Raw genomic sequence first — 23995 nt, forward strand, 5'->3', positions numbered from 1 at the left:
ATTAGCGAGGAGGGAGGTTGGTTGCTCTTTACTTCTTTAGACATCCATGGAGAGCCAGGGCAGGCAAGAGGCTCAGCAGTATAGAATCATGATGTCTGTTCTAGTCCAAAGATTGGTGGCTCCATTATTCCATTGGCAAAACGCTGGGGAAAGGACTCAAACTGAAAGAAGACTTTTAAGTGTAGTTATGGGAAACAAAATACAAGATCATGAACCAGGGCTGTGCTTATACTTCTTAGATTAAGAACATCATGTCTTGATTGAGCTGTCATTCATCCACTCAGCCATGCATTCGTTCAACTAATTTATATCAAAACCTACTATGCACCAGCCCTCTTCTCAGGTATTGATTAGTACGATGACAAACATGGGCAGATGAGGCTCATGCCTTAATGGAGCTTACCTTGTAGAGGGTATGACAGGGAAAAAAAAAAAAAGAAGAAGAAAGAAACAAGCAAATGTGTAGATAAAATGATTTAGGTGGTGGTAACTGCCTAGAAGAAATACAATACAGTAAAAGGGTAGAGAATGAGTAAGGGGGGCTGGGCGAGGGCGGTGCTGGTGTTGCATGTTGTATATTTTCATGGTTGAAATGCTTGCTCCTGTGAAATTCGAGGCATGAAATCTCAGTATGCCTAAGGGAAGTCAAACACATTTTCATAAACTCTGAGCAATTAATGGTTGTCATTAAAGCAGAGGATTTTTAGCCAAAAAATCAAAAGCCAAGTTTCAGCAGTAGCACACACAGGGCCCAATCCACAAATTATTTCTCTGTTCTTCAGCACTAGGTAACATGTTTTATAGGAGACCTTGGACGTTACACCACATTCTCCCCATAACAGAGGCGGGCATTACGCAGAGTATTGCTTCTGTCTCTCCAGGGACTTTTCACCCCGTCAAACCTGTTTCACTCCAGAGGAACAAGACGCAGTCACTCTGTCCTGCTGTCAGGGGTGGGCCCTCTGATTCCCCTCCAGATGCCAAAAGGCCCGGGGGCTGGGGTGGTGGGGAGCAGGTGATGGGCAGGGCCACTCCCTCTGAATTCCAGTGCCTCTGGCTCTTGCTGGCAGCTCCCCAACAAGGAGAGGTGGGGAGGTTTGCCCAACCCAGGGCTGGGTTTCTGCCTCTGGCACCCCAAGGGCACTTTCTTTTCATCTTAGGCATGCATCAAGAAAACTACTCTTGGGACTTTTCTTGGGACTATAATTGAGTCATTTGTACTCTACAACCCTCCATCAGTTTTTCTTCTTTAAAAGAGGATATAAAAACATTTCTAATTTGACAAAATGTATCCTGGGAGCTCACCCCGGCTACCTTAAGAATGAGTGGCAAGGATGAGAGCTTTGCGATTGTACAGAAGGGGAGTCAAGTACAGAATCTGTACAATCAAGTACAGATTGTACAGAAGGGGTTCCGAGAATCCCCCCAAAAGGCCACTAGAACCACCTCCAAACCCAACCTACTAAGCCAGCTTGACTTCAGAGAGGTTAGGTAATCTAGCCAAGGCCACACAGCTTATATGTGGGGCAGAGCTGGAATGAGAACCAGATCTGTCCTCCAGTCCAGAACACCCTCCATTATGCCACACTGCCATAAGAGACACCCTTGTACATGAAACCACAGGAGTGAGTGATGTGAGGTGTTCAGACACCTCCCGTGGGCCAGCAGAAGAGCTTCTGCAAGTGCCCTGCAGAACTCCCCTGGCATCTGCCAGCACGTGCCTCTACATTCCCAGGGACTTCTCAGAAACCTGGATTTGTGCACATGGAAGGCTTAATTCATGGCTATCAGACCCTCAACCTCTGGAAGAGGATGCATTCACATATTGTTAATCCATAGAGTAAACATATTGTGATGTTTGTGATGCAGTGGCCAAAGTTAGGCAGACCCAGGTTTGAACCCTGATCCCACCACCGATAATCATGTGACCTGGGGCAAGTTCCCTGGTTTCGTTCCTTCTCAAGTTCACTATGAAATGGGGATAATAATATCTATCTCCAGGGGTGACAGTTACATTGTCTGTAGCTGGAACAAGTGACCTGGACACCAGCAAAGCATGGTAGGCTATAGCAGGTCCTGGGGTGCCTCCTCTGGGCCTTCATAAGGAATTCCTGAGGTCTCCAGGGGAAGGGCCAGGGCAGCCAGGTAGTAAGAGATCACTTAAGGGTTTTGGAGAGCAATGATTGCTAACTGGCCCACCTTCCAGCCTGACATCCGGTCTGCCTACTGCACAAGGAGGTTGTCAGGATGGAGGACAAACACGTAAGGCCGTTGGCACAATGCTTGGCATCTAGGAAGTGCTCAATAACATTGGCCTCCTCCCCCTGAGAGACAGGGTCTGTGCCTATAGTCCCCAGAGGAGGAAATGGCCCGCTGGCCCCACTGTGCAGACACATGCAATACCTTGCTGCTCATGACACCTCCACTTCTAGGGAACTTTCTTGCTTTCTTGCCAAAATTCATTACACTGTAGCCCAAGTCAGTTCTAGGACTTTTGACTTTTAAGTCCAGGCTAAATCTGGAACTTTTCTTAAATGCTTGCAAAAATACCCTCTGCTCCAAAAGCATGGCACCAACTGGATGGGAAAGGAGGTCGCGAAGCAGAAGACTATTGATTTCTATGGGTTTCCTTTGCAACATCAACCTTGCATCCTCCTGGTGCTCTGGCAGACAGTGACCTCGGCAGGGTGCAGGCCTGCCCTTACCACTGGGTAGGGCCCTGCCCCCTGCTCTCGTCCTTTCAGTTCAGCTTCTCATGCGCCCAGTCTGTGCCAGCCCCTGGTGAAGACTGGGTGAGCTGATTGCCACTGGACTCTATAATTTGCTGACTGCCCACAGACCCCATCAGCCACTGCAGGATAGCAAGAGCTGAGAGAAATGTCATGTAGACAAGCAGGAGCCTGGTGCCCAGCAAGTGCCATGGATGTGAACCCTAGAACCCCAGTGTCACTGCATGAGCTCACGTGAGTCAGGCATCTCTGGGCCACATCCATTTCCTTCTTCCTGGGCACCAGCTGTGTGTCAGACCTTCCCACCCTTCCCTTTGGGCATACAGATTGCAGCCCAGTCTCCTGGAGAGAGAGACACAAACAGTTATAATACAATGTGATTGATGCTTTAATTCCCTTCATGAAGGCTTGCTATTAGGGCACAGATAGGGGGTTCTTTGCCTCACCTAAGGGGGGCAGGGGAGGGGAAGTCTCCCTGGAGCTAATGATGCCTGCAAGGAAATAAGAGAAAGATATTCCAGATACTGCAAAGTACAAGGGAGCCAACAAATATGTTTATATTGTTGGAACTTAAAGAGTGAAGAGAGCAAGCGTCAGCACACAGAGGCTCATGTGCCGTGCTAGAGAGCTTGGACTTAGTCTTGCAAAAGAGAAGAAGCCTGGGCCATGCAGGAGTGACCCGGGAGAGTGGCCTTTCATAGACAGGTCACCATAGGCACCAGTGGCTCTTCTGTCCAGAAGGGCTGTGAGCTTCTCTCTCCACCCTCTGGTGTGCTGCGTCATCTACACTTGCTGCTTGTTTGTGGCCACACCAATCCAGGTCTGCCTGAAGCCAAGGGAGAAGATGTGGCAGCTCCAGTGCAGACCTCAGGATCCTCTGTGACATCTCTGGAGAATGGACATGCTGAAAGTCAGATGGAAGGGAGAGACCTGGACAGGCATGCTGCTGCGTTGAAAGGCAGGTTTGGAGAAGGTGGGGCAGCTTCATCACTCCTCCCCCTCATCTGAGTGGGACTCAACACTCAGAACCACCTTGAGCATTCACTCATCCCCTTGCCCTGGTGGAAGGACCAGCTCCGGTCCCTGCCCTTTCTGGTCTTTTGCAGCTGGAAATCCAGATGCTGGATCTTGGTCCCAGGATAATTGAGCTGTCCACATTGCTTCCTCTCCCTCTTATCCTGTCACGCTTCCTCCTGAACTTTTGACACAAACCCTGCTTCGTGTCAGTGTGACTGTCAACCCCCATGAAGTCAGCATCCCCGGGGTGGGTCTTGCGGCCTTGCTCAGCCTCCAAGCCCCACAGGCCCTGTTCCAGGCCAGCAACCATAATTGGCAACAACACTGCAATTCCTGAGGTGGCTGGGAAGACAGAACAGGGCTGCTGGCCTTAGGAGCACAAGGTTCCTTGCTGCCCTCTGTGTGCCTTTGTGTTGCATGCCTGGTGGGGCTGGAGGTGGGATCTCACCCATCCTTCAGGAGGCCCCGGCATAGCTGACTTTCCTCTCTCCAGACCTGGCTTTCTAAAGGAGCTGAATGAGAACGTTCCCACACAGGGATTTTCATCAAAGACCGCTTTCATCAGGCCCCACCCCAATGCTTTCAGGAGTTCCCCACTGTCTACATACAGTCCTGGCTTCCTGGCTGGGCACTTGGGGTCATTGACAAAGTAGCCCCAGCCTCTTTTCCGGCTGTTTCTCCCTCACTGACACTGAGAACAGCCCCACTGCCTTTCTCCATATTTCTCATACCTGACCTGCACATCCCCACTTCCAAGCCTCAGCATGGGCTGTTCCCCATCCTCCAGGGATCCTTTTCTGACCACAATCTTTAGCCCACACAACTGCTTCTCCTTACTGTGACTCAAAAGTGATGCACACCTACCAATCCTGCGTCTTGAATGTCCAACTTTCCTCCCTTGACAGATGAGGATGCTGGACTCTAGGGAGAGTCAGTAACTTGCCTGAAGGCACAGCTGGGAAACAAGAGAGCTGGCATTCAAATCCACGCACTCCAGCTTCAGTGCTCGAACCTCAGAGTGCTCTCCATGAAGAGCATGTTTCCTTTCCCTCAGTAGAGGGAGAGAGCGCTAGATGACACGTGAGCAATGCTCCCTGACTCTTGCCTGCGTGTCTCGTCACATACTGTTCCTCTTCCTGCTGGCCCTCCCTTTCTCTGAAGGAAAAGCCTTCTATGGCTAACTTGGGCTGTAACTAGAAGTTGAATCAATTCCCCTCCTCAGGACCAGCTATGTAATTTGCAGGTCCCAAAATGCAAATGCAGGCAGGGTCCCTTGTTCATAAATGATGGAGAATTTCAAAATGGTGGCAGCAAACATTAAACCCCAAGTTCAGGGTTCTTCTACACACAGCACCCAGTGGGGCCGCCCAGGTCCCATACCCATGAAGTGGCCCCGCACCTTCCTGGGGCTTCCCGGCCTGCACTCACCATCCCTAGCTTTCCTTGTGAAGCCCCAGGGTCAGCAATGCCTAGCACACAGTAGGCCCTCAATAACGTGTGTTGAATTGGAAAGATTTCTTGTAGACGAGAGACTGTAAATTTCAGAATAGGTGATTTTAAGAACAAAAGAGATACCCATGTGTCTAGGTCTAAATTTTCTGGTGCTTGAAACAAGCAAACAAAAATTGTGGACTCCTCTTTTTAAACAAAATACTAGATTGGATACCGTGATGGGCTGAAATTGTGTTTCTTCAAAATGAGTATGTTGGAGCCCTCCCCCCACTACTCAGAATGTGACTGTATTTGCAGGTAGGGTCTTTAAAGAAGTCATTAGAACGAGATTGTAAGAGTGGGCCCTAATCCAATAGGATTCATGTCTTTATAAGAAAAAGGAGGTTAGGACAGAGACAAACACAGAGAGGCGACGATGTGGTAACACAGGGAGAAGATGGCCATCTGCAAGCCAAGGCAAGAAGCCTAGAACAGAGCCTTCCCTCAGATCCCTTAGAAACCAGCCCTGCCAACACCTTGATCTCAGACTTCAGCCTGCAGAACTGCAGGACAGTAAATTCTTGTTGTTTAAGCTCCCAGTCTGTAGGGCTTTGTTAAGGCAACCCCAGCAAACCAGTACAAATACCTAGAGATAAAATAAATCACAACCAATTATAAACCTCAAAAGCTGATAGATACCACTGAAAAATCTGGAAATATGGAAGAATAACATGATATTCATAGCTGCATTAACTGTCTGTCATACTTTACTTCCCATATTTTTGGCTGAATAATCTTCATATGTGACAATAGTTTTATAATATTCTTTTCCATAGAGAGAAGAGAAAGATAATTTAACTTCTCTTGTAACATGGTTGATCAGATTTTTTTCCAATATGGAAAAGTCTGAAGTTCACAACTTATCAGCGGTAACATCACATACATTTTCAGAATTGGTACCAAATTTGGGAAAATGTCTATCAAGTTTCTTTCACAGATCGGCTGATAAATGTCAGGACATTTTCATTATCTATTAATGCAGTGACTAATCTTAAATGCTCTTTGAATTGCCAACACTCATTAACCAGTCGGTCACCAATGTCTGCACCATAGTTATGCTATCCTGGTCAATGTTCTGATTTTATGTTGAGTCAGCAAAAAAAGGAAAATCTTTTTTCCGATGTGAGCTTATAATTCATCCCTTTCTTTTAATTGGGTTATATTATAATCCAAGAGCCTACTTATTACTTCCATTGGAAATGTATCATAAAGATTGGAAATGTATGTCTTCCTCTTAATGAACTAATACTTTTAGTATGATCTAAGATTTTTTGTTACAATTTATTTCTTCATATGAGAATAATTTTAACCTTACTTCCACAGAACTGTTAAAACCGTATAATAACCACGTGAATACCTTGCTAGGATGCCCTGCAGTCTTTGGAAGGACAGGGGCAAGTGAAGAAACCTGAAGCTGAAGCTCCATTAGCTTTGTGGCGAGTCAACCCTGGTCAAGGTTGGAGGTGGGGCTCAGAAGAACTAAACCAACAGATACTTCCAGCTGTACACACTCATCCCAGCCAGCGACACCCACTCTTCAGGTCCATGGTCCCAGGCCGCAGCAAAGTTCTGAGACTAAGGTGAGAATAAGGTGAAATTATGCACATTTTCTGTTTGTGTGTAGAGAAAGAGAGAAACAACTTCCTCAACCCGAGATGAGGTTGTCTCTGGGCGACTAGCCATCTGGTTCACCAAAACAAGATTTTCTCTGATTTTGCATGTAAGCTGTTTTTGTTTGTCTTTTTTACCACTTTGGTCCTAAAGGGTTTATTTTCTGTTACCCACTCCCCACAGAACCTCTGCATTCTGGGATGGAATGTAGGGTGATGGAATCCTTAGAGGTGGGTGAGAGGAATCCCACTGGGCCCCCCAGCATGGCCTGGGGCCTTCCTGGGCTTGGCAGTGGTTAAGAGTGTGAGCACCAGAACCAAACAGCTGGGCTCTGACACTGACTCCCTCCAACCATAGTCCCGGGACAAACTCACCCCTCCGTTCTTCCCATTCTGTATCAGTAGAGCAGAGGAAAAGTGATGAGCAGCACGTGGGAGTTGTGGGAATTGAGTCGTTGCCGCTCAAGTGCTTGTACAGGGCCTAGCACTTCGTAACTGCTCACTGCGGGAAAGGGAACAGGTTTATTAAGGGTTTGATGAACAGAACTGGAGGAAATTGGGAGGGGGCAAGGGCCCTGTCCTTATGCCAGGAACTCCTCCCTTCCTTTCTTCTCCAGGCCTCACTGGGAGCTGCACCCTCTGCTCCTCTGGCCTGGGAAAGAGCCAGATGTCTTGTCTCCTGTTTCCCATCAGAGAGGGTTTCCTCTGGCTCCAACGCCTTCCTTGCAGTGTATGAGGCGGCTTTACCTGCCTCAAAGGTCAGCTAGCAAACACCTAGAGAGTATTCTAGACAGACCCTGGCTGCAATTCCCAGGCTTTCCCTGCTAAATCTGGCAGAATCTGCCCTGGGGTGTGCCAAATGTCAATCACAAGAAGGACAGGTCACACTGCTTCTTCCGAGAAGCCTCTCTAGATTTCACCGCCCTGCCTTGAACTCTGCCCATATCCTGTGTCTCCTGTAACCCTGGGCTCAGCTTGTCCAAAAGCTGTTCCCTGCTAACCATGGCTAGTGTGCTTCTCGAATTGTGAGCCAAAAGCAAATGTTCAAAAGCACAACCAGAGATTTATATGGCATAGGGGTGTATTTTCCCAGAGAGCTAAAAAAAGATTGTAAAATCGTAATTATATCCACATTTTATGCATAATTTTTGCAATATACTAACCATATTTTGAACATGTTCATTCATTTACTTCTGCTACAATTCAACATGCAGTCACTCAACAGATATCTGTTGAGCACCTCCTAGGTACCAGACACCATTCCAGGTATTCAGAATATATCCCTCGTGGGGCGCACAATCTAATAACAGAAGGAGATGGATAATGAAAACTTCACATCATAAATGTTAGATGGTGATAAGTGCTATGGGGAGGAAACAAAGGGAGACAAAAGCAGAGCCCAAGAGAGAAGATCCAGAATGCAGGTGGAGGGTAGAGTGCAGGTTGCAATTTAAAACAGGAGGATCAGGGAAAGCCTCATTGATACACTAAGATTTGAGCAATGACTTGGAAAGGAGGTGAGGGATGAGCCGCGTGGAAATCAAGGAAAGGGCATTCTGGGTACAGGGCCCTAAGGCGCGAACGTGCCTGGCATGCATCTGAACACAGCTTAATTCTGGTGAGCATCTGATTGTGGCTTCTTTGGTCTTCCTTGGGCGTGCCTAAGGACTCCTATCTTTGTCTCATTTATATTAAGTTCATGAGATCTGTGCTTTCTACTCCAGCTTTCCACTCATCTTTATAAAACAGTAAGGACAAAATTAAATGAAATGTGCAAAATAACTGCACAAACTCTGTGCTGGGTGCCTGGTGACGCGGAACCGTCGGCTGGCACGCTGCGCCCCCACGTGGAAGCTTGCAAGGTTTGGCCCCCTAGGCACGGAAGTTCCTATCTGGCCCCTGGAAAGCAGCCCAGGGGGACCAGGCTTAGTGCCCAAATGTACGCGCTGTGCAAAAGAGAAACTTATGAAGTCAAGGACCTCGTGGCGTGTTAGACGAGAGCCCGAGGGCAGGGGTGGGGGTGCAGTGCTGATGGGGATGTGGGCCACACCCGCTAGCTTTCCTCCCCGAGCCAGAGAAGATGTTCCTGTCCTTGAACAAGAGAGCAGACAGTTCCCCCAGGCAGCTGTGTGCATGGGGGGAGGAGGGGGTTCCGGGAGGGTGCTGTGCTGCATGGCCCTCGACACAGATGTGCACTCGCATGCGCTTGGCAAAGGTGCTCCCCGCACTGGACGTGCATTTGTTTTTCCTCCAGGACTGTGTTCTGGACAAGGACCTCCTGAGGCACCCATGCTGCAGTTCCCAGAGGCTTAAGGACGGCTGCGGGACGTGTGGGCGTCTGGGTTGGTGAGTCTGGGAATTGGGGAGGGGGCGTCTGCGAAGGGAAGCCAGCCCACCCCAGTCATAAATGCCATACTCTTAGGGACACGCAGGAGTATTTTATTGTTTCATTGAAAACTGAGCCCCCAGTGCAGCTGTTCTGCCCATGAATTCCAGGGGGCAGGGACGGTGCGGGTAGGAGAATGAGGGGAAGCCAGAGGGAAGTGGGGACAGGGCCCGCTTGTCAAGTCTACGAGATCTTGTTACTGGGGTTTGGGGGAAATTGGATGCGGTTCCAGGGTTCAAATCTTTCTTGCCCCACACACCAGGGCGCTGGCTCCACTTAAGGCCATCGAGATGAAAGGGCCTGAGTGTTTATTCCCTTGTCAGCCCAGCAAATGGGTTCTGAGCCAACTCTGACAGTCTGTTTTCAAATAGGAAAAAGCGTTTTTTAAAAACTCTTTGTTTGGAGAGTAAAACCTGCTATGTGTTAAAGGTGACAAGCTAGGCTGTGCTGCAGACAGGACCCCCTCCCGGGTTGGCTCAGGGAGGCTTTTGCACTAGGCACCTCCTCAGATTACACCTGGCCATCGCCTCCCTGTCTTTCCACTTGCAATTTTAAGGGTCACCTCTCCAAGGATGCCTTCTCTGACCACCCAGCGTAGTTCCCCAGGCACTCCGTCACTGTCCTGCTGTAACCCCTTCCTGGCGATCCTCTTCGCCTGATATTTTTGTGCTCACTGATGGATGAGCTCTGCTCATGAAAATGCAAAGTCCCTTAAGAGCAGAGTCCGTGTCTGTTCTTTTGGCTGCACTGTTACCTGCACAGAGAAGAGTGCCCAACCGAGATTGTGCATTCAATACGTATATTTTATTAGTTGAAATAAATGAATGATGTTTAAGACCTGGCTTATGCATTTTCTTTAATGAAGAGATGGAGAAAACATAGCATGCTGGAGCAGAAGGGAGATTGAGGAGAAGAATCTGGACCAGCAAAGAAAAAGAATTCCAATTTTCCTTCCCTCAAGGACAACCTGCCCATAGATAAGCGCCTTGAGACCAAAGCCCATTATGGTTGCTGCCAGGCAGCTTGGAGACACAGGAATGGCCTCCCAACATCCCTGACCTCGGTTTTTGATACCTTTGTAAATGATATCCCTAATCTGTCTGCTCCTGAAATCCCTACCTCGTTTTTAAAATGTTTTCCTAAAACCTAATGAGTTTGACTTGCTCCTTTGCCTTTGGAAAGGTTGTCATTTTACATTTTAAAAGTCAAAAAGAAACGCTTCCTATCCCTCTGGATCCTCCTGGAGCCAGCAGTAGCTCTGTGGCCTTGAGCAAGTCACTTCCCTTCGCTGGGGCTCAGTTTTCTGTAAAGGGAGGAGGAGATGGTGCTGGCTGTTGTCCAGGTCCATGCCAGCTCTAAAAGGCTGTGAGCTTCTGATGCCCACCCCCCAGTGACACCCACAAAGGAACTGCCTTCCCCTCCAATGGGACAGCGTATGGCCAAGCATTCCTGGGAAGGGCAGGAAGAAGAGGGCCTCCTTCCTAGCGCCCAGGCCCTTGTCTGCTTGTCCCCTTGTCATCCTTCCCCTGGACTATGCCACTACAATGCATCATGAGGACCTTAGATATCAAGAGTGGAAACGCAGGGTTGTTCCCCAGAGTAAACAGACTACAGAAATGGCCCAGTTCTCCACTCCTGCATGCTAGTCCTTTGCCTTTTGAGTTCACACTCGTCTCAGCAAGAGCTGGAGCCTATCCCCTAACACCTGAAATTTGGATTGGCTTTCTGACTGCTTTAGCCAAAAGAATGCACTAAAAGTATCAAGGTGTAGGTGTGGAGCCCAGGTCTCAAGAGGCCTTGCCCAACCCTTCTCTCTTTCCTGGACCCCTGTAGCTGCCATGAAGGAACACCGAGGCTAGCCTGTGGGAGGATGAGACACATGGAGCAGTGCCAGCTGACCCAGCCAACACCGTTCTAGATTAACAACCATATTAGCCAACTGAGCCCCAGACATATGAATGAGTCCCAGCCAAGCCCAGCCAAGATCTGCGGGCCTGGCTCAGATCAGCAGAAGTGTGCAGCTGACCCACAGACTCCTGAGTCACGATCACCGATTGTTTCAGGATGGTTTGTTACACAGCAATGGCTAATTGACAATACACCCTGGATCTACCCCCAGGACAGCCCACATCTCCCTTAGTTTGCCTTCTTGAGCATCCTTGCACGTGGTCTGCCCTTTCTGCCTCTGTACTGCCTAGTTTATGTCTTAAAAATATCACTTCCCTCCTGTAAGTCCGGCCCTGTGTATAGAAGCATACAGGCAATCGCTTACATGAGAGAATTTTATTTTTCAGGGTCTCTCTAAAACTGGGTGCCATAATGTGTCAGCTACTTGGGCCAGCCATGGTATCTGAAACCGTGGCCCAAAGACTTGGTCTTCTGAATTACATCACACATAGTACATGTCATATAGAGGAGCACACATCCTACCTCCTGTCTCAGTGGCATGATAGGTGAAGTGGAAATCGGGTGCAGGAATGACCTTTATGGGGCTGGGAAGGAGGCTTTGTGGGAATGCAGACCTGACAGAGTGTTCCAGGAGAGGCCTCCGTGAGGTCACCGGAACTAAGCAGGGATTGGAAGCAGAGCCCCCAGGCACACCCACACTCATAGTTTTGCTAAGGATTGACCCTGTTTTCTTGTGCAAGTATTTTATTTTTCTCTAATAAATTAACATTTATTAGAAGTCTATTGTAAATCAAGCAGGCATCAGCTAAGCCCAGGAGATGACAAAGATAAATAATGAATCCCTGCCCTGAAGGAACTTACTAGTTCATAATCCTAAAGGTGCAAAATACCGCTACAAGTATATGCCAATAAATCATTAGATTCGAATTCAGTTCTTTCTTCTAAAAGTCAGGAGGTAAAACCAGATTAATCAATGATCAACAATTAGAAAAATCAATTAGGGTGATGTTTATATTACTTATGTATTTATACTTCTTCAAGTTTTACTCAAATTACATTTCTCTTTGCAAGTACGATTAATATTCAAAGCCAAACATGATTTCCAGTCTTGTCCCCAACTGCATCCTTCTGTCTTACTCACCTCTATACATGATATACCTTCATTCACCTAGTTCTATACATATCTTATCCATAGCAAATCCTGTAGCATTACCCCCACAACATACACAGAATCCCGCCAATTCGCACCACCTCCACCTCCACCATCCCAGTGCAAGCCATCAGCACCTCTCACCTATTCTTTTGCAAAAAAATTGGTAACTGGTCTTTTTGCTTCCATCCTTCTCTCCCACCTTCTATTCTAACCAGCAGGCAGAAAGATCCTGTTCAAACATAAGTCAGATTAGGTTAATCCTTAGATCATAAACCCTCCGCTATCTTCCCATCACACTTAACATAAAATCAAAGGCCCCAGATGACTTGGCCCTGACCACCTCTCTAACCCTGCTCTAGTCACATGGGCAGTATTGCTTTTCTTTACATTCACCAGACATTCCTACCTTAGTGCCTTTGCACTGGTGCCTGTTACCTTCCTGACTCAGACCTCTTCATGGACCATTTTTTTATGGCATTTCAAGCTTTGCTCATGTTTCACCTCTTTAGAAAGAACTTCCTTGACCACCAGAGCTAAAATAGCCACCATCACCACTACCCCACAACATCCTTCACTTTCTAGCCCTTTGCCCTGCTCTAGTTTTCTTCATAGCACTTACCACTGCCCTGTATTATACCATGTATTTGTTTATTTACTTGTTCGTTGCCATGATGAGATCCCTAAAGACAGGGGTCTTGGCTGGTTGGTGTGCTACCATATGTTAAGTATTTGAACAGTACCTTGCTTTTGTCATCTACGTAATAAATGTTTGTGGAATGAATCCCTAAGTGTTCACATTCATTCTGCTAATGTTTGTAAATATCTTATTTTGTAAAATAAGTGAATGGGCAAGTCTATCATATAGCTCAAACAATATCACTCTTGGAATTCAGGAAATGAACATCAAATCCCATTGCTTCTCTAAGAAAAAGAAAACAATTTGGACCACTCACTTCCCTTCTCTGAGCATTTGTTTTTCCTTCTTCAAAGTAAGTAAAACCATCCCTCTCCCCTCCCAACCGAAAAGGTAAGTACTATAGTTACTTCCATTTTATCCATGAGGAAACTGAGGCCCAGAAAAGGCCAAGTCAGTCTTTGCTGTCTCAGGAGGAGGATTTAGAAGGTCAATTCTGCCCAGGAATTGAGGCCAGAGAAAATCACTCTGTGGATAAGTTTTGATGCAAAATCCGAGCAGACTGTGTTCTCACTTCTTATAACAGAGGGAAGCGCCCCTCTGCCCAGCCGGGCCCCATCCCCTGGAAGGGCAGGGTGGGACTTGCTTCCGCCTGTTCTGTGGACAGTCTCTGTGCATGTGGGATTACTAGAAGAACTTTCAGTCTCCAGGAGCTCCAAGGCCTGCACTTCCCAGAGCCTTCTCATCAGGCACAAATAAACAGTTGTTAATGTCTTCCTGGGCTTATGTGCTTGAGGCTGTCACAACCAGGAGCTCTGAAACTGGCACAGGCCGGGGTGCAGACACCCAAGGCCTCCAGGCTGACAGCTGCATGGAGTCATTTTCAATTAGAGAATGACTTGGAAAAGAAAAAAAATCCAGCATCAAAGCCTATCCTGAAGCCTGCCTGCCCAAGGCCTGAGGACTCCCAGGTGGAGCCAGGACCCTGTCACTCTTCTGCTTGCAAGGAAAGCAGCCCACACTATGCCCAGCCGGGAAGGGGGCGGGGGTGGCTTGTAGAATCCTGCCCCTGGTGCAGGCTCTGTCTGCTTCTAGACAGGAGAAGAAAGCAAAGGTGCCTTTGTAGGCCAGCTGTCTTGGGGAGAGAGGCTCACTTTCTGCAAGCCCTGGTGCTCCCCAGAGAGGCCACAGCCCAGAGGAGTGAGCTAGAAATTTAGAATTATACAGAATTGAATGCGAGCACTGGCCTTGCTACATGCTGGCAGTATGACCTTAAGGCACAGACATAGGGATGGTGCAGTGCCTTAGGGCCAGAAACAACAGGCACCATTAACCAGGGCCGGGACTAGGATGAGACAAAGGAGGCGCTTGCTTCGGGTGTACAATTTAAGGGAACTTCAAAAAACTCAGCAATCAGATAAATTATATTTTAAGGCAATATTTTTTTAAGTTAAAATTTATGTTAAAAAAATCCATGATGAAGAAAATATCAAAATTTTAAATAAAAACAGGCTCCAACAATGCCGTGCCAAGCCATACTGGAGCCTGAGGCAAAAGGAAAAACTGTGCTTCCCTATATATGTGTATTTGTGCATTTTTAATGGTTACTATTTTTCCAGAACATTAAATGAGTTTTAAAAATATTGAGAAGTGTCTAAAACTCACAACATTATTTTAAATTTAAATATTTTATTTATATCAAAACCAGAATGTATTATAATTTTACTTTCCTGGCTTAAAATGGAAGCAAACTCATCAATACTATTTTCAAAACCTGCTTACTTACTTACGCCATTTTCAGTTGAAAGAATTGCCATGTTCAACAATTTCTACTGACCAAGTGACTACCTTAAATAATTGTTAATTAACTTTAGCTCACTAAAACTTCTTTCCCTGGACAGCACTGTAACTAGTATTGTTTAAAAAAAGAATTCTCAAGGCCATGTCCAAGTTTAGATAAGACTACACTAAGCAAAATTCCTGAATCTGTTTTAGAGATTCAAATCTAATGCTGATTTTGTATTGTAATTTATTGATATTACATGTTAAAACTATTTCAGATGAAATTTCAATAGGACTTAAATTGTCAGAATATTTAAGAGTCCAATCAATGACTGATTTTTGTAAATAAGATCTATTCATGAAAACTTTTCTGCAGTTTTCTAATTTTTCTAGACTTAAAAATTCAAAATCTGAAGATATTTAATTTTTGCATGTCTATTTCAAATGTGAACTTCAGACATTTAAATTTTTGATTTCTATTTGATCTAAGCTGGTTTCATTGTAATTGATACTCTTACCCATGAATCATATATTTCCAGTTTCCTTACTTTTTTAAAATTTATTTCCAAATTTAGGAAGCATGTTTATACCTCATGCTAAAGTTTTACTTTCATCCAGCATGTCAAGTTATTTATTCTCATTTGTTATAACTCACAACTTTCACTTGAAAAAAGTTGATCAAAGTAGATTTTGAAAGTATTGTTGATGAATTTGCTTCCATTAAAGTGAGGAAAATAAAATTATAACACATTCGGTTTGAGATAAAATGAAATATCTAAGCTTAAAATAATGCTGTGAGTTTTGAGACATCTACTTCCCAGATTTTCAATATTTGTTCAACTAGTTCTGGGGGAAAAAACAACCATTATACAAACATATATGCAGGGGCACTGAGTTTTCCTGTGACCTCAGGCTCCAACATGGGCCCGCAGCACACTGTGGTTCCCAGCGGGAGGAGAGAGGTGTTTACTGGAATTGCAGACACAGCAGGGAGTGTGGAGGGGGCTCATTGGCTGAGACCTCTGCAGGGAGAGAAAGAGCTGGGGGAGCATCCTGACCTCGCTTTCCTCCCTCCCTCACATCTCCTGCTGGCATTCTGCATGGGCTGGACCAATTGCATGCCAGCGGGCACTGGGGCCTGTTGGTGTGGTCCAAATGGGTCAGCCGGCAGCACCGAGCAGATGGAGAAGGGTGGAAAGTAGATCTGGGGCAGCAAACGGAAATTCTATGGGACACTCTTGGTCTTTGTGGATCGACTCAAAAACAGAAGGTGATAATAACTACCTTGCAAAGTTTTCCTAAGAGGGAAATAGGGCAATATAGGTAAATTGCCTCAAATAGTTTGGCATCTCCTAAACCAGGGCTTGTATTACAGCTGAACAGGAGTAAGCAACCACTGCTGGTGGTAGAGGGAGAGTGAGGGGGAAGGTGGGATGGGACACCTGATGTGGTATCCCTTGCTCCTCAATCAGCCTGAGGCCACATGGCACCACCTGGGCAAGACTGACCCCAGCAGGACCAGCTCTGCCTTCAGTGAAACAGAGTGGTGGGATGGAAGGCACTTTCATTTCCTGAGTGAGCCTCAGTTTCCTAAGAGTCTGATAGTGATAGAATGATGCCTATCTTGCAGGATTTTGAGGACTAAGAGAGATAATGTACGTTAAAGTACTTTGTAAACTATGAAACATGTGAATGTTGTACTTGGGGTGGGAGGGCTCGTGCTCATTTCATCTTCAAAACAGAAAACCACACTAAAGCTGTGGGGACATACTGTCTTCTTTACTATGAAATCAGAGGCAGAAAATATTTTCCTTACTTTAGGAGGCCATGTGTATTGTCCTTGTTTGACAGACTACTGAGTGTGCAGAAGTAAGGAATTAAGAGATTCTAATATCAACTCTGCCCCTATTTCGCTGAGATACTTTAAATCTGGGTGCTCCTTTTGTCTCTCAACTTCTCCGGATTGAAAACATGGACTGTGATATTCAGTAGAGTGCTTTGTGCCTTGCAGAAGATAAAGAGAGTCGTCTTGACAGCTTAAGACTTTGTCGGCCTGTGTGACCTGGTACAGAAGGAACGTGCATTCCACGGCAGAGTTCAGAACTATGGAAGAATGCAGACACATCTAGAAAGTTTCAAAAGTTGGAATGGAACATGGAATTATTTTCCATGGCCTCTTCTCCTGGAGGCAAAATTAGCTGGAAAGATCGCATACTTAGACCCCAGTGGCAGAGCCCAGCACCAAGCCCCCTGGGCGGAATCAGAGGAAAGATGAAACTGCATGGCCACCCACCGTTTACAGATGAAAGATGGGACTTACAATTGCTACATGATCTCAGAGCCCAGCCCTGATGGCCACAAGCACACCTGTGCACAGGAGTAATCTGACCAGCTGAGGGCAGATGCTTTGCAGGACAACAGAAGTGGGATCATGGGGACCTCTCTGTGGGTTCACCCGGTCCTGTTGTGCTTGACCCCGGCCCTGAGTCAGTCACCACTCCCCATGGCCTTCATGCCTTACCTGGACAGTGAGAGGATCAGATGAGCGAAGAGGTTCCACAGTCTGAGTGCTCGGGAGAATGACCTGGGAGTCTTTTAAAAATTCAGTTTCCTTGGCTTCTTATCCTGAAAATTCAGTCAGTAGACAAGGAGCACAACCCAGGAATCTGTATTTGTCACAATCAGCTGTAGTGATTTTGATGAGCCCAAGTATTCTCTAGGGTCCTACCAGCCTGGCACTCGGGCACCCTCTTGCTCCATGGGTGAAAGCTCGAGAGATAATAGAGAGATAATAGGCTGGAACAGAATTTCAGTGGAAGGGTGGGGAGGGAGGCAGAGCTTCTCAGGCACAGGGATGTGCAGCTGGGAGAGGTGCAATGACCGAACCTTTTTTACCTATTCTCTGAGTCCTTGTTGGTTTTTATTGCTAACGTCATATGAGATTGTTACATTGTCTTGGCTGTGCCTGTGTGTCACATATTATGCTTTCTCACCTAACCCCAGTAAAATCCCACCTTCATTGATCAAAACAGGTTGTTATCATATGGACGCTCAAAATATTTTTATGCACCTTCTCAGTCTGCAGAGAATTCCACTGCAAACAGCTTATAAGGTCCATGTGTTTGGCTGTAGGTTCTTCCTCAAACTGGCTGCTTCGTAGACAAGCAGGTGCCTCGGGGACTGTGTCTTCACATAAGTCATGGTCTGTTTTCCATGGGGAGGCTGCAAGAGCTAGGGGGACAGAGGTGACAATGCAGAAGATGGAACAAAGTAACAGCACAATGGGAGCATGCAGAGGCCCGGGGATAGGTCTGGGTGTTAGGAGGACAACCTGGCCCCACTGGGTAAGTCAGGAGGCTGCGGTCTTAAGGGGATGGGACTGAGACTGCAGAGACTGGCCCTGCAGAGGTATCGGGAGGCCTGAGGCACACATTAGTTGGGCTCCATCCTGAAGACAGGTTGGGGGACAGGGCTTCCAGGCAGCAGGCAATGATAAGTGGCATTGCCCCAGCCCATGACTGGACACCAAGATCTAGTCCCGCACATAAGGGCTGCTGTACCCCAGGCTCTATGTCTGGGCTTTCTGGAGAGGGAGGCCAGTGAGAGGAGCTCCCCTTAGCCAGTCCTACCTCATGAGATGACTGTGCTGCGCTGTTTTATCTTTTACAGCACTCTGAAGGACTGCGTTCCCCATTGCATGAGGGAAGAAACTGAGGGTGGAGAGGCTCCAGGACAGAGCAGGATGGTGCTGGTGTTGAACTCTGAGACGACGTGACTACAATGCCTGTGCCCTTTGCTGGGAGGCTAATCAGAATCCAGGAACGAGAGGCTGGGCAGAAACCAGGCCAGGGTGCATCCCCCACGGCAGGCTGGAGTTGCTGATGGGAGGAGAGGACTCCATGGCAGGTGTGCGTCTCCTCAGCCTTCCAGGCCTTGGGTGGTGTTGGTTACGCTAAGACTGGGGGATTGGGGTAAGGGGCCAGAGCCAATGCTGATTCTTGATCTCTCTCCAGTGGGATGTGTGCTGCATCCCCAGGCTTGGTGGGGAGACCTGGGTGCGGGAAGTCCAGACAGTGGTGAAGCCAGCAGGGCAGCACATGTGTCCAACCTCCCCCAACTACAGGTGAGAAAATACCACCCAGGACCTGACTGAGACCCCATCCGGCATCAGTCCACGTGAACCCAGTGTCTGCAGGGAAATTTTACAGTCAAAACCTGTGCAGTCTGCTATGAACCAAGGAATAAGGAGGCTGCTGGAAAAGCCATCATTTTGCTGGGCTATTGATGTTGGTGAGAGTTGATCACAGTTTGAAAGGTGCAGAAGGCCATGCCTGGCAAAGAGACAGATGGGAGACCTCTCTGGTTGGGGCGAGAATGCTGTGTGGGATGGCTCAGGGGTGGAGGTAGCGAGCCTGTGCTTGAGCGGGGCCAACCGAGAGTCAAATCCCGGGCTGCCGCGTGTCGAGTGCGGTGGCCATGGGTCCATCCATGACTTCTCTGAGTCCCTAGTCCCCTACCCGTAAAAACGGAAGCAATAACACAGACTTCTTAGGTTGTTTTTTTGAGACCTGAGATAGACCACATGTGTAAGGCATTCAGCACAGTGCTTGACTTGTGTAGGGCTCCCAAAGCTGAGCTATAATTGGGTAATTGCTGATGGTGCTCAGATTCCAAGGTGAAAGGAGAAGAGACACAGGGATGCTGAGGGGGAGTTGAGGAGAGGTTGCTGCACAGTCCAAGAGGACCATAAACAACATCACAGAGGAGGCACATGAGGGCTGCCTCACACTCAGCAGAAAGGCCAGAGTGAGGGCGTGCAGCTGGCTCGCAGAGGTGGGCTTTCAAATCCCAGAGGAATGGGCTGACTGCACTGCCCAGGCTGTGGTTGCTCCACACTGAGGACTTGGGATACCCACCTGCCTCAGCTTCTTGGATGATCTCCAGAATGCCAGGCAGCCAGACGTGAGGTCATGCATTTACTGTAGGGAGCTGTGCAGCTGGGTGAGGGGAGGGGGCTACCAGGCAGAGGCTCTGCCTGCCTCAAAGTGCTCCAGAGGGGCTGGGTGGGCCCCAAAGTGTTCAGAGGGACTTGATCAGAGGCCCTCAAGCAAAGCATGCCTTAGGTGTAGGGTCAGGGGAAAGGGCCCAGCCTCTCTGCCCTCCCATCTCCAGCCCTGCTTCCATCTCATGGGCCTGGGCCACGTGGCCCTTCTAAATGAAGCTCCTGAGCTAGGTGGATGTTGGTGCAGACACAACCGACCGGTCTGCCATGCATGTGTGAGAACACAGGCTGCTCCAGCGGCCTTGCAGACACCCACCCAGCACCTCAGGCAATGGAAACCCCCCAGGAAATGGCCTTGTGTGGGAAGGAGGGCACGCCCCCAACCCTGGACACAACCTCCAGGGTTGAGAGGAGAGGCGGGACCAGGGAAAGGCTGCCCCAGCAGATTAGGCTTTGAGACAAGGTAAATGAAGTCAGGGTCACAGAAGGGCTTCTCACCCAACCCTCTCACTTCACAAGTGGGGAAACCGGCCCAGAGAGGGCAAGTAAACAAACAGCGTAAGGAGTTTGTGGTTGTGGAAGGTTGTGAAATGGCCCCTCAAAAGATATTCCCATTCTAATACCTGGAACTTGTCAGTGTTACCTTACATGAGGGGAAAACAGGAGTTTTTGGCAATGTGAGCAGATGAAGAATCTTGTGATGGGAAGATTATCCTGCGGTATCTAGGTGGGCTGTAAATACAGTCACATGCATCGTTATAATCAGACGACAAAGAGAGATCTGAAAACACACAGAGGAGGCCCCAGTGTGGAGACCAGTAGAGGGAGGCTTGAGAACACGGGCCTTGAACATCGGAGTTGGTGTGGCCATAGCCACCGGACCCTGGAAGAGGCGCGTAACAGATTCTCCCCGCCAGCCCCTGAGTGAGTGCAGCTCTGCCAACTCTTGATGTTGGCCCAGGGAAACTGTTTTCAGACTTCTGGCCCCCACAACTGCGAGAGAATAAATTACGTTGTTTTAAGCTACTAAGGTTTTAGTAATTTATTACGGCAGCCACAGGAAACTAATACAGTGTTTTCCCTGGGCCCGGCCCGGCCTTGGAACTGTGTCGTCCTATCGGTACCCTGGACCCATAAGAGGGAGGGATGGCAGGGGCAGAGAAGGCAGGGACTCCATTTTCCATCACAAGCTGTCTCCACCAGCCTCGCTGAGGGATGGTGATGGAGATGTACCATGTCCTCACTTCCATTGCCTGAGGTGCTGGGTGTGATGTGGAGAAGACATAAGAAACTAACGGCAAACGTGCTCATTCTGTCCTGCGTGTGCAGCGAGACAGCCGGCAAGCCCAGGATGCGGGCTGGGCCCTAAACCCCAGCTTCCGGCTGTTAACTGGGCCTTTCGTGTTGACGAAACACAGTTGAGGGTATTTACAGTGGATGTGGCTACTGTGTGGCACATAGTATTGAGAGCATCACATTCAGCATCTCGCTGTGGCCCGAAGGGGAGCTCCTGGGATTGATTAGGAAAGAGCCATTTGGAGAAGGCACTGTTAAAACTGTTTGGTTTTTCCTGCCCGCCGGCTGAGAAGGTCCTGGAGGAGTCCTGCTTCTGCTGACAGGGTAGGGTCCTGGGCCAGAGAACTGGCTAGAACTCAAGACAATAAGGCAGGAGTCAGTCAGCCTCAGGATATCTGAAAGCATGGTGATGTCAGTTCAGAAGACAGGAAATCAAACCTGCCTCAGTGGCCTGCCAGCTGTGTGGCCATGGGCAAGGTGCTCCGCCTCCTGGAGGTGGGCACAGTGAGATGGAAAAGTGGACGTGAAAGGGCTTTTGTCAGCTGTGCAGGTCCAGACCGCCATGTGAGCGTGCGGGTTTTCCTCCCCAGCTTCTACTCCACCCTGGTCAGGTCTGCCCATGGAGGGTGAGAGAGCTAGGACAGGAAGGTACTCACGGCTGTCCCTCTCATGACTGACAAATGGTGCCAATGTTATCCTAGGGTGCACACACACATTTTCAAGGAATTGGGGTGGGGGGGATGGCCTTGTCCCTTGAGAACTATCAGTCTAGCAGGGGACACTAAACACATATGCAGGAAATGACCTTATTAGAAAGCAACACACTGAAAAGTGCCAAGTGACACAGCTCGGACTGAACATGGAAATGCTCGAAGCCCACACAACTGGAGTGCAGGAGCAGGCTAGACCGAGTCAGAGGACACTCGACACTCTCCTGAAGTCTGACCCCGTGAACGTCAAGGCCCAGGCCCAGGCCTGTGTGTGAGCCAGGGCAGGGGAGTCGGATGTGGTGTCTGGGAGAAGACTGTCTTAACCAGCTTAGGGCGAAAAGCAGGAAGGGCATCTCTCTTCTAGTTACTAGAGTGGAAAGGAAAAGGGAAGTTCTGGGTTGGTGACCCTGTGGTCCTCTGAGCAGGCGAGAGCCCAGCACTAAAATACGACAGTCATTCTGCTGGGAGGACCCGGCTGAACTTAGCGCTGGGTAGGTGGGGTAGAGTAGGCTAGGGCCTTGGCAAGGAGGAGCCATGCTGCCCTGGAGCACATCTCTGGTGCGGCAGAGCCCAGCATCAGCTCTGACCACTGTGGACAGAGGCCCATCCCCAGATGTGAGTCCTTGATCAACCCCGGGGTTCCGCCTTCTAGGGCTCACATAGCCAAGGGGAGCCCCAGCCTCACAGAAGCCACAGCAACTAGGCAGAAACCACAGGACTGGCCCATATGGCCAGGCGGGCTCAGAGCCGTGGCCTGCTGTTGTTGGGGACAAGGGCGTGAACATTAAAGATAGAAGTCACAGTAACTCATACTCCTCAGATTGCGGTAAACTGTGTTTGTGCATAAGGCTGTTACGGTTTTATTCTTTTCCTCTTTGTCTCCTTCATTCTTGGTCACCAGTTCTCTTACCCAGCCTTGATGTGTTTGGTATAAAGCTTTGAATGGGAACATACTTTAAAAATACATTTTAAATGGTGTGTGTGTGTGTGTGTGTGAGAGAGAGAGAGAGAGACAGAGAGAGATCTACATAAATGACATTGTGCTATGGACTTTCTGGGTTTTTTTCCTTTTTCAAAAAACTTACCTTATGTTTTAAAGACTTGCTTGTGATGCTGTATGACCCTCTAAGTCTCAGTTTTGACTGCAGCTGCCTGGTGTTCTGTGGTCCACATGCCTCCTTTTGTCTTACCATACCCGTGGGGATATGTACCTCATCTGCACCCAATTTCTTGTTCGCATCCCCTGGTGACCAGGGCTTCAGTCCTCAGGTCAAAGCATCCTTAGTTGAGCTCAACTTTCCCAGGCTTATCTCCAGGACACCTGCACCAGCCTATATTCTGCCAGCAGGGCATGAAGCTTTCTGTTTCCCTGGTCCTTACCAACTGCCAACAATCTGACAGATGCAAAGTTTGGGTTGTTGTGACAGTTACCAGTGTGGGTTCAAGTCTTCACTCCATCACTCAGCAGCTATGTGACCACATAAAAGCAGATAAGCCACATCTATATGCCTCAGTGTTCGCATCTATAAAATGGAGATACTAATATAATTACCATAGGGGGTGGTCGTGAGGATCTAACAAATTAATGAAAAGTATTCAGTAATTACTACTACTAGTAGTACAGGTAGTACTTCCTATTGTTACTACTAACATTTTCAGTTTTAATGAGGTTTACCACCCCTTCATACACCTGTTAGCCATTGGGTTTTCTCTACGGTGAATTGCCTAGTCATACCTTTTCTCATTATTCCATTGGGTTGCCATGTTTTTGCTGCTGATTTGCAGGTGTTTGTTGAACATTCTAGACACTAATCCCTTGCTTATTTTTGGTTCTTGCAAACATCTCTCAATCCATTCCTGGTTTGTTAACTTTGACAGCGCTAACTTTTGTTGAACAAAAATTCTGATAATGTTAAATCTGTCTTTTTTTATTTCCTTGTGCTTTGTATTTTTGGACTATTGTTTAATAAATCTCTTTCCATGACAAAGTTACAAATATATTGTCTATTTCTGTTGTTAATATTATGATTCTACTTTTCATAAATAAAGCATTAGTCTATCAAAAGTTAACATTTAGTTTTGGTCAGGCAGGTATATAATTTAATTTTTCTCAATATATTTCTTTTTATCTTCATGATTTTGTAGTGATTGATACATGTGAATTAATGTAAGGAATATATAATACAAATATAATTAGTTTTTTTATCACTCAATTCTATTGCACTGGTCTCATTACCTATCACACTGATTTTGTTACTACACTGCTATGGATTTGTA

General features: G+C 47.6%; 1 long non-coding RNA gene across 9 annotated transcripts, besides 3 other annotated features; it reads left to right on the forward strand.

Annotated features, from left to right (window-relative positions):
* Positions 1-3550: 3550 nt before the first annotated feature.
* On the forward strand, positions 3551-23716 carry LOC124902865 (uncharacterized). Of its 9 annotated transcripts, none has more exons than XR_007063181.1 (5): positions 3551-3702; positions 6561-9193; positions 9790-18054; positions 18380-18616; positions 18834-23716. It is a non-coding gene; the product is annotated as an uncharacterized LOC124902865 (long non-coding RNA). The 9 variants fall into 9 exon arrangements; XR_007063185.1 differs by having other exon boundaries at positions 6561-8709; positions 9102-9193; positions 9790-18616; XR_007063186.1 differs by having other exon boundaries at positions 6561-6957; positions 7465-9193; positions 9790-18616.
* Positions 6448-7647: an enhancer, noted in NCBI's record as "CDK7 strongly-dependent group 2 enhancer chr12:5618629-5619828 (GRCh37/hg19 assembly coordinates)". NCBI's record gives its function as "activates an origin of replication core promoter dependent on BRD2, BRD4, P300/CBP, MED14 and CDK7 cofactors, with strong dependence on CDK7, by STARR-seq in HCT116 cells {active_cell/tissue: HCT116}" and the evidence as "EXISTENCE:reporter gene assay evidence [ECO:0000049][PMID:35650434]".
* Positions 13894-14450: an enhancer, noted in NCBI's record as "H3K4me1 hESC enhancer chr12:5626075-5626631 (GRCh37/hg19 assembly coordinates)". NCBI's record gives its function as "activates a minimal SCP1, AML or CMV promoter by ChIP-STARR-seq in naive H9 embryonic stem cells {active_cell/tissue: H9 hESC(naive)}" and the evidence as "EXISTENCE:reporter gene assay evidence [ECO:0000049][PMID:30033119]".
* Positions 17539-18738: an enhancer, noted in NCBI's record as "BRD4-independent group 4 enhancer chr12:5629720-5630919 (GRCh37/hg19 assembly coordinates)". NCBI's record gives its function as "activates an origin of replication core promoter dependent on BRD2, P300/CBP, MED14 and CDK7 cofactors, and independent of BRD4, by STARR-seq in HCT116 cells {active_cell/tissue: HCT116}" and the evidence as "EXISTENCE:reporter gene assay evidence [ECO:0000049][PMID:35650434]".
* Positions 23717-23995: the final 279 nt, after the last annotated feature.

The sequence above is a fragment of the Homo sapiens genome, chromosome 12, assembly GCF_000001405.40.
Source record: "Homo sapiens chromosome 12, GRCh38.p14 Primary Assembly".
NCBI classification, from domain to species: Eukaryota; Metazoa; Chordata; class Mammalia; order Primates; family Hominidae; genus Homo; species Homo sapiens.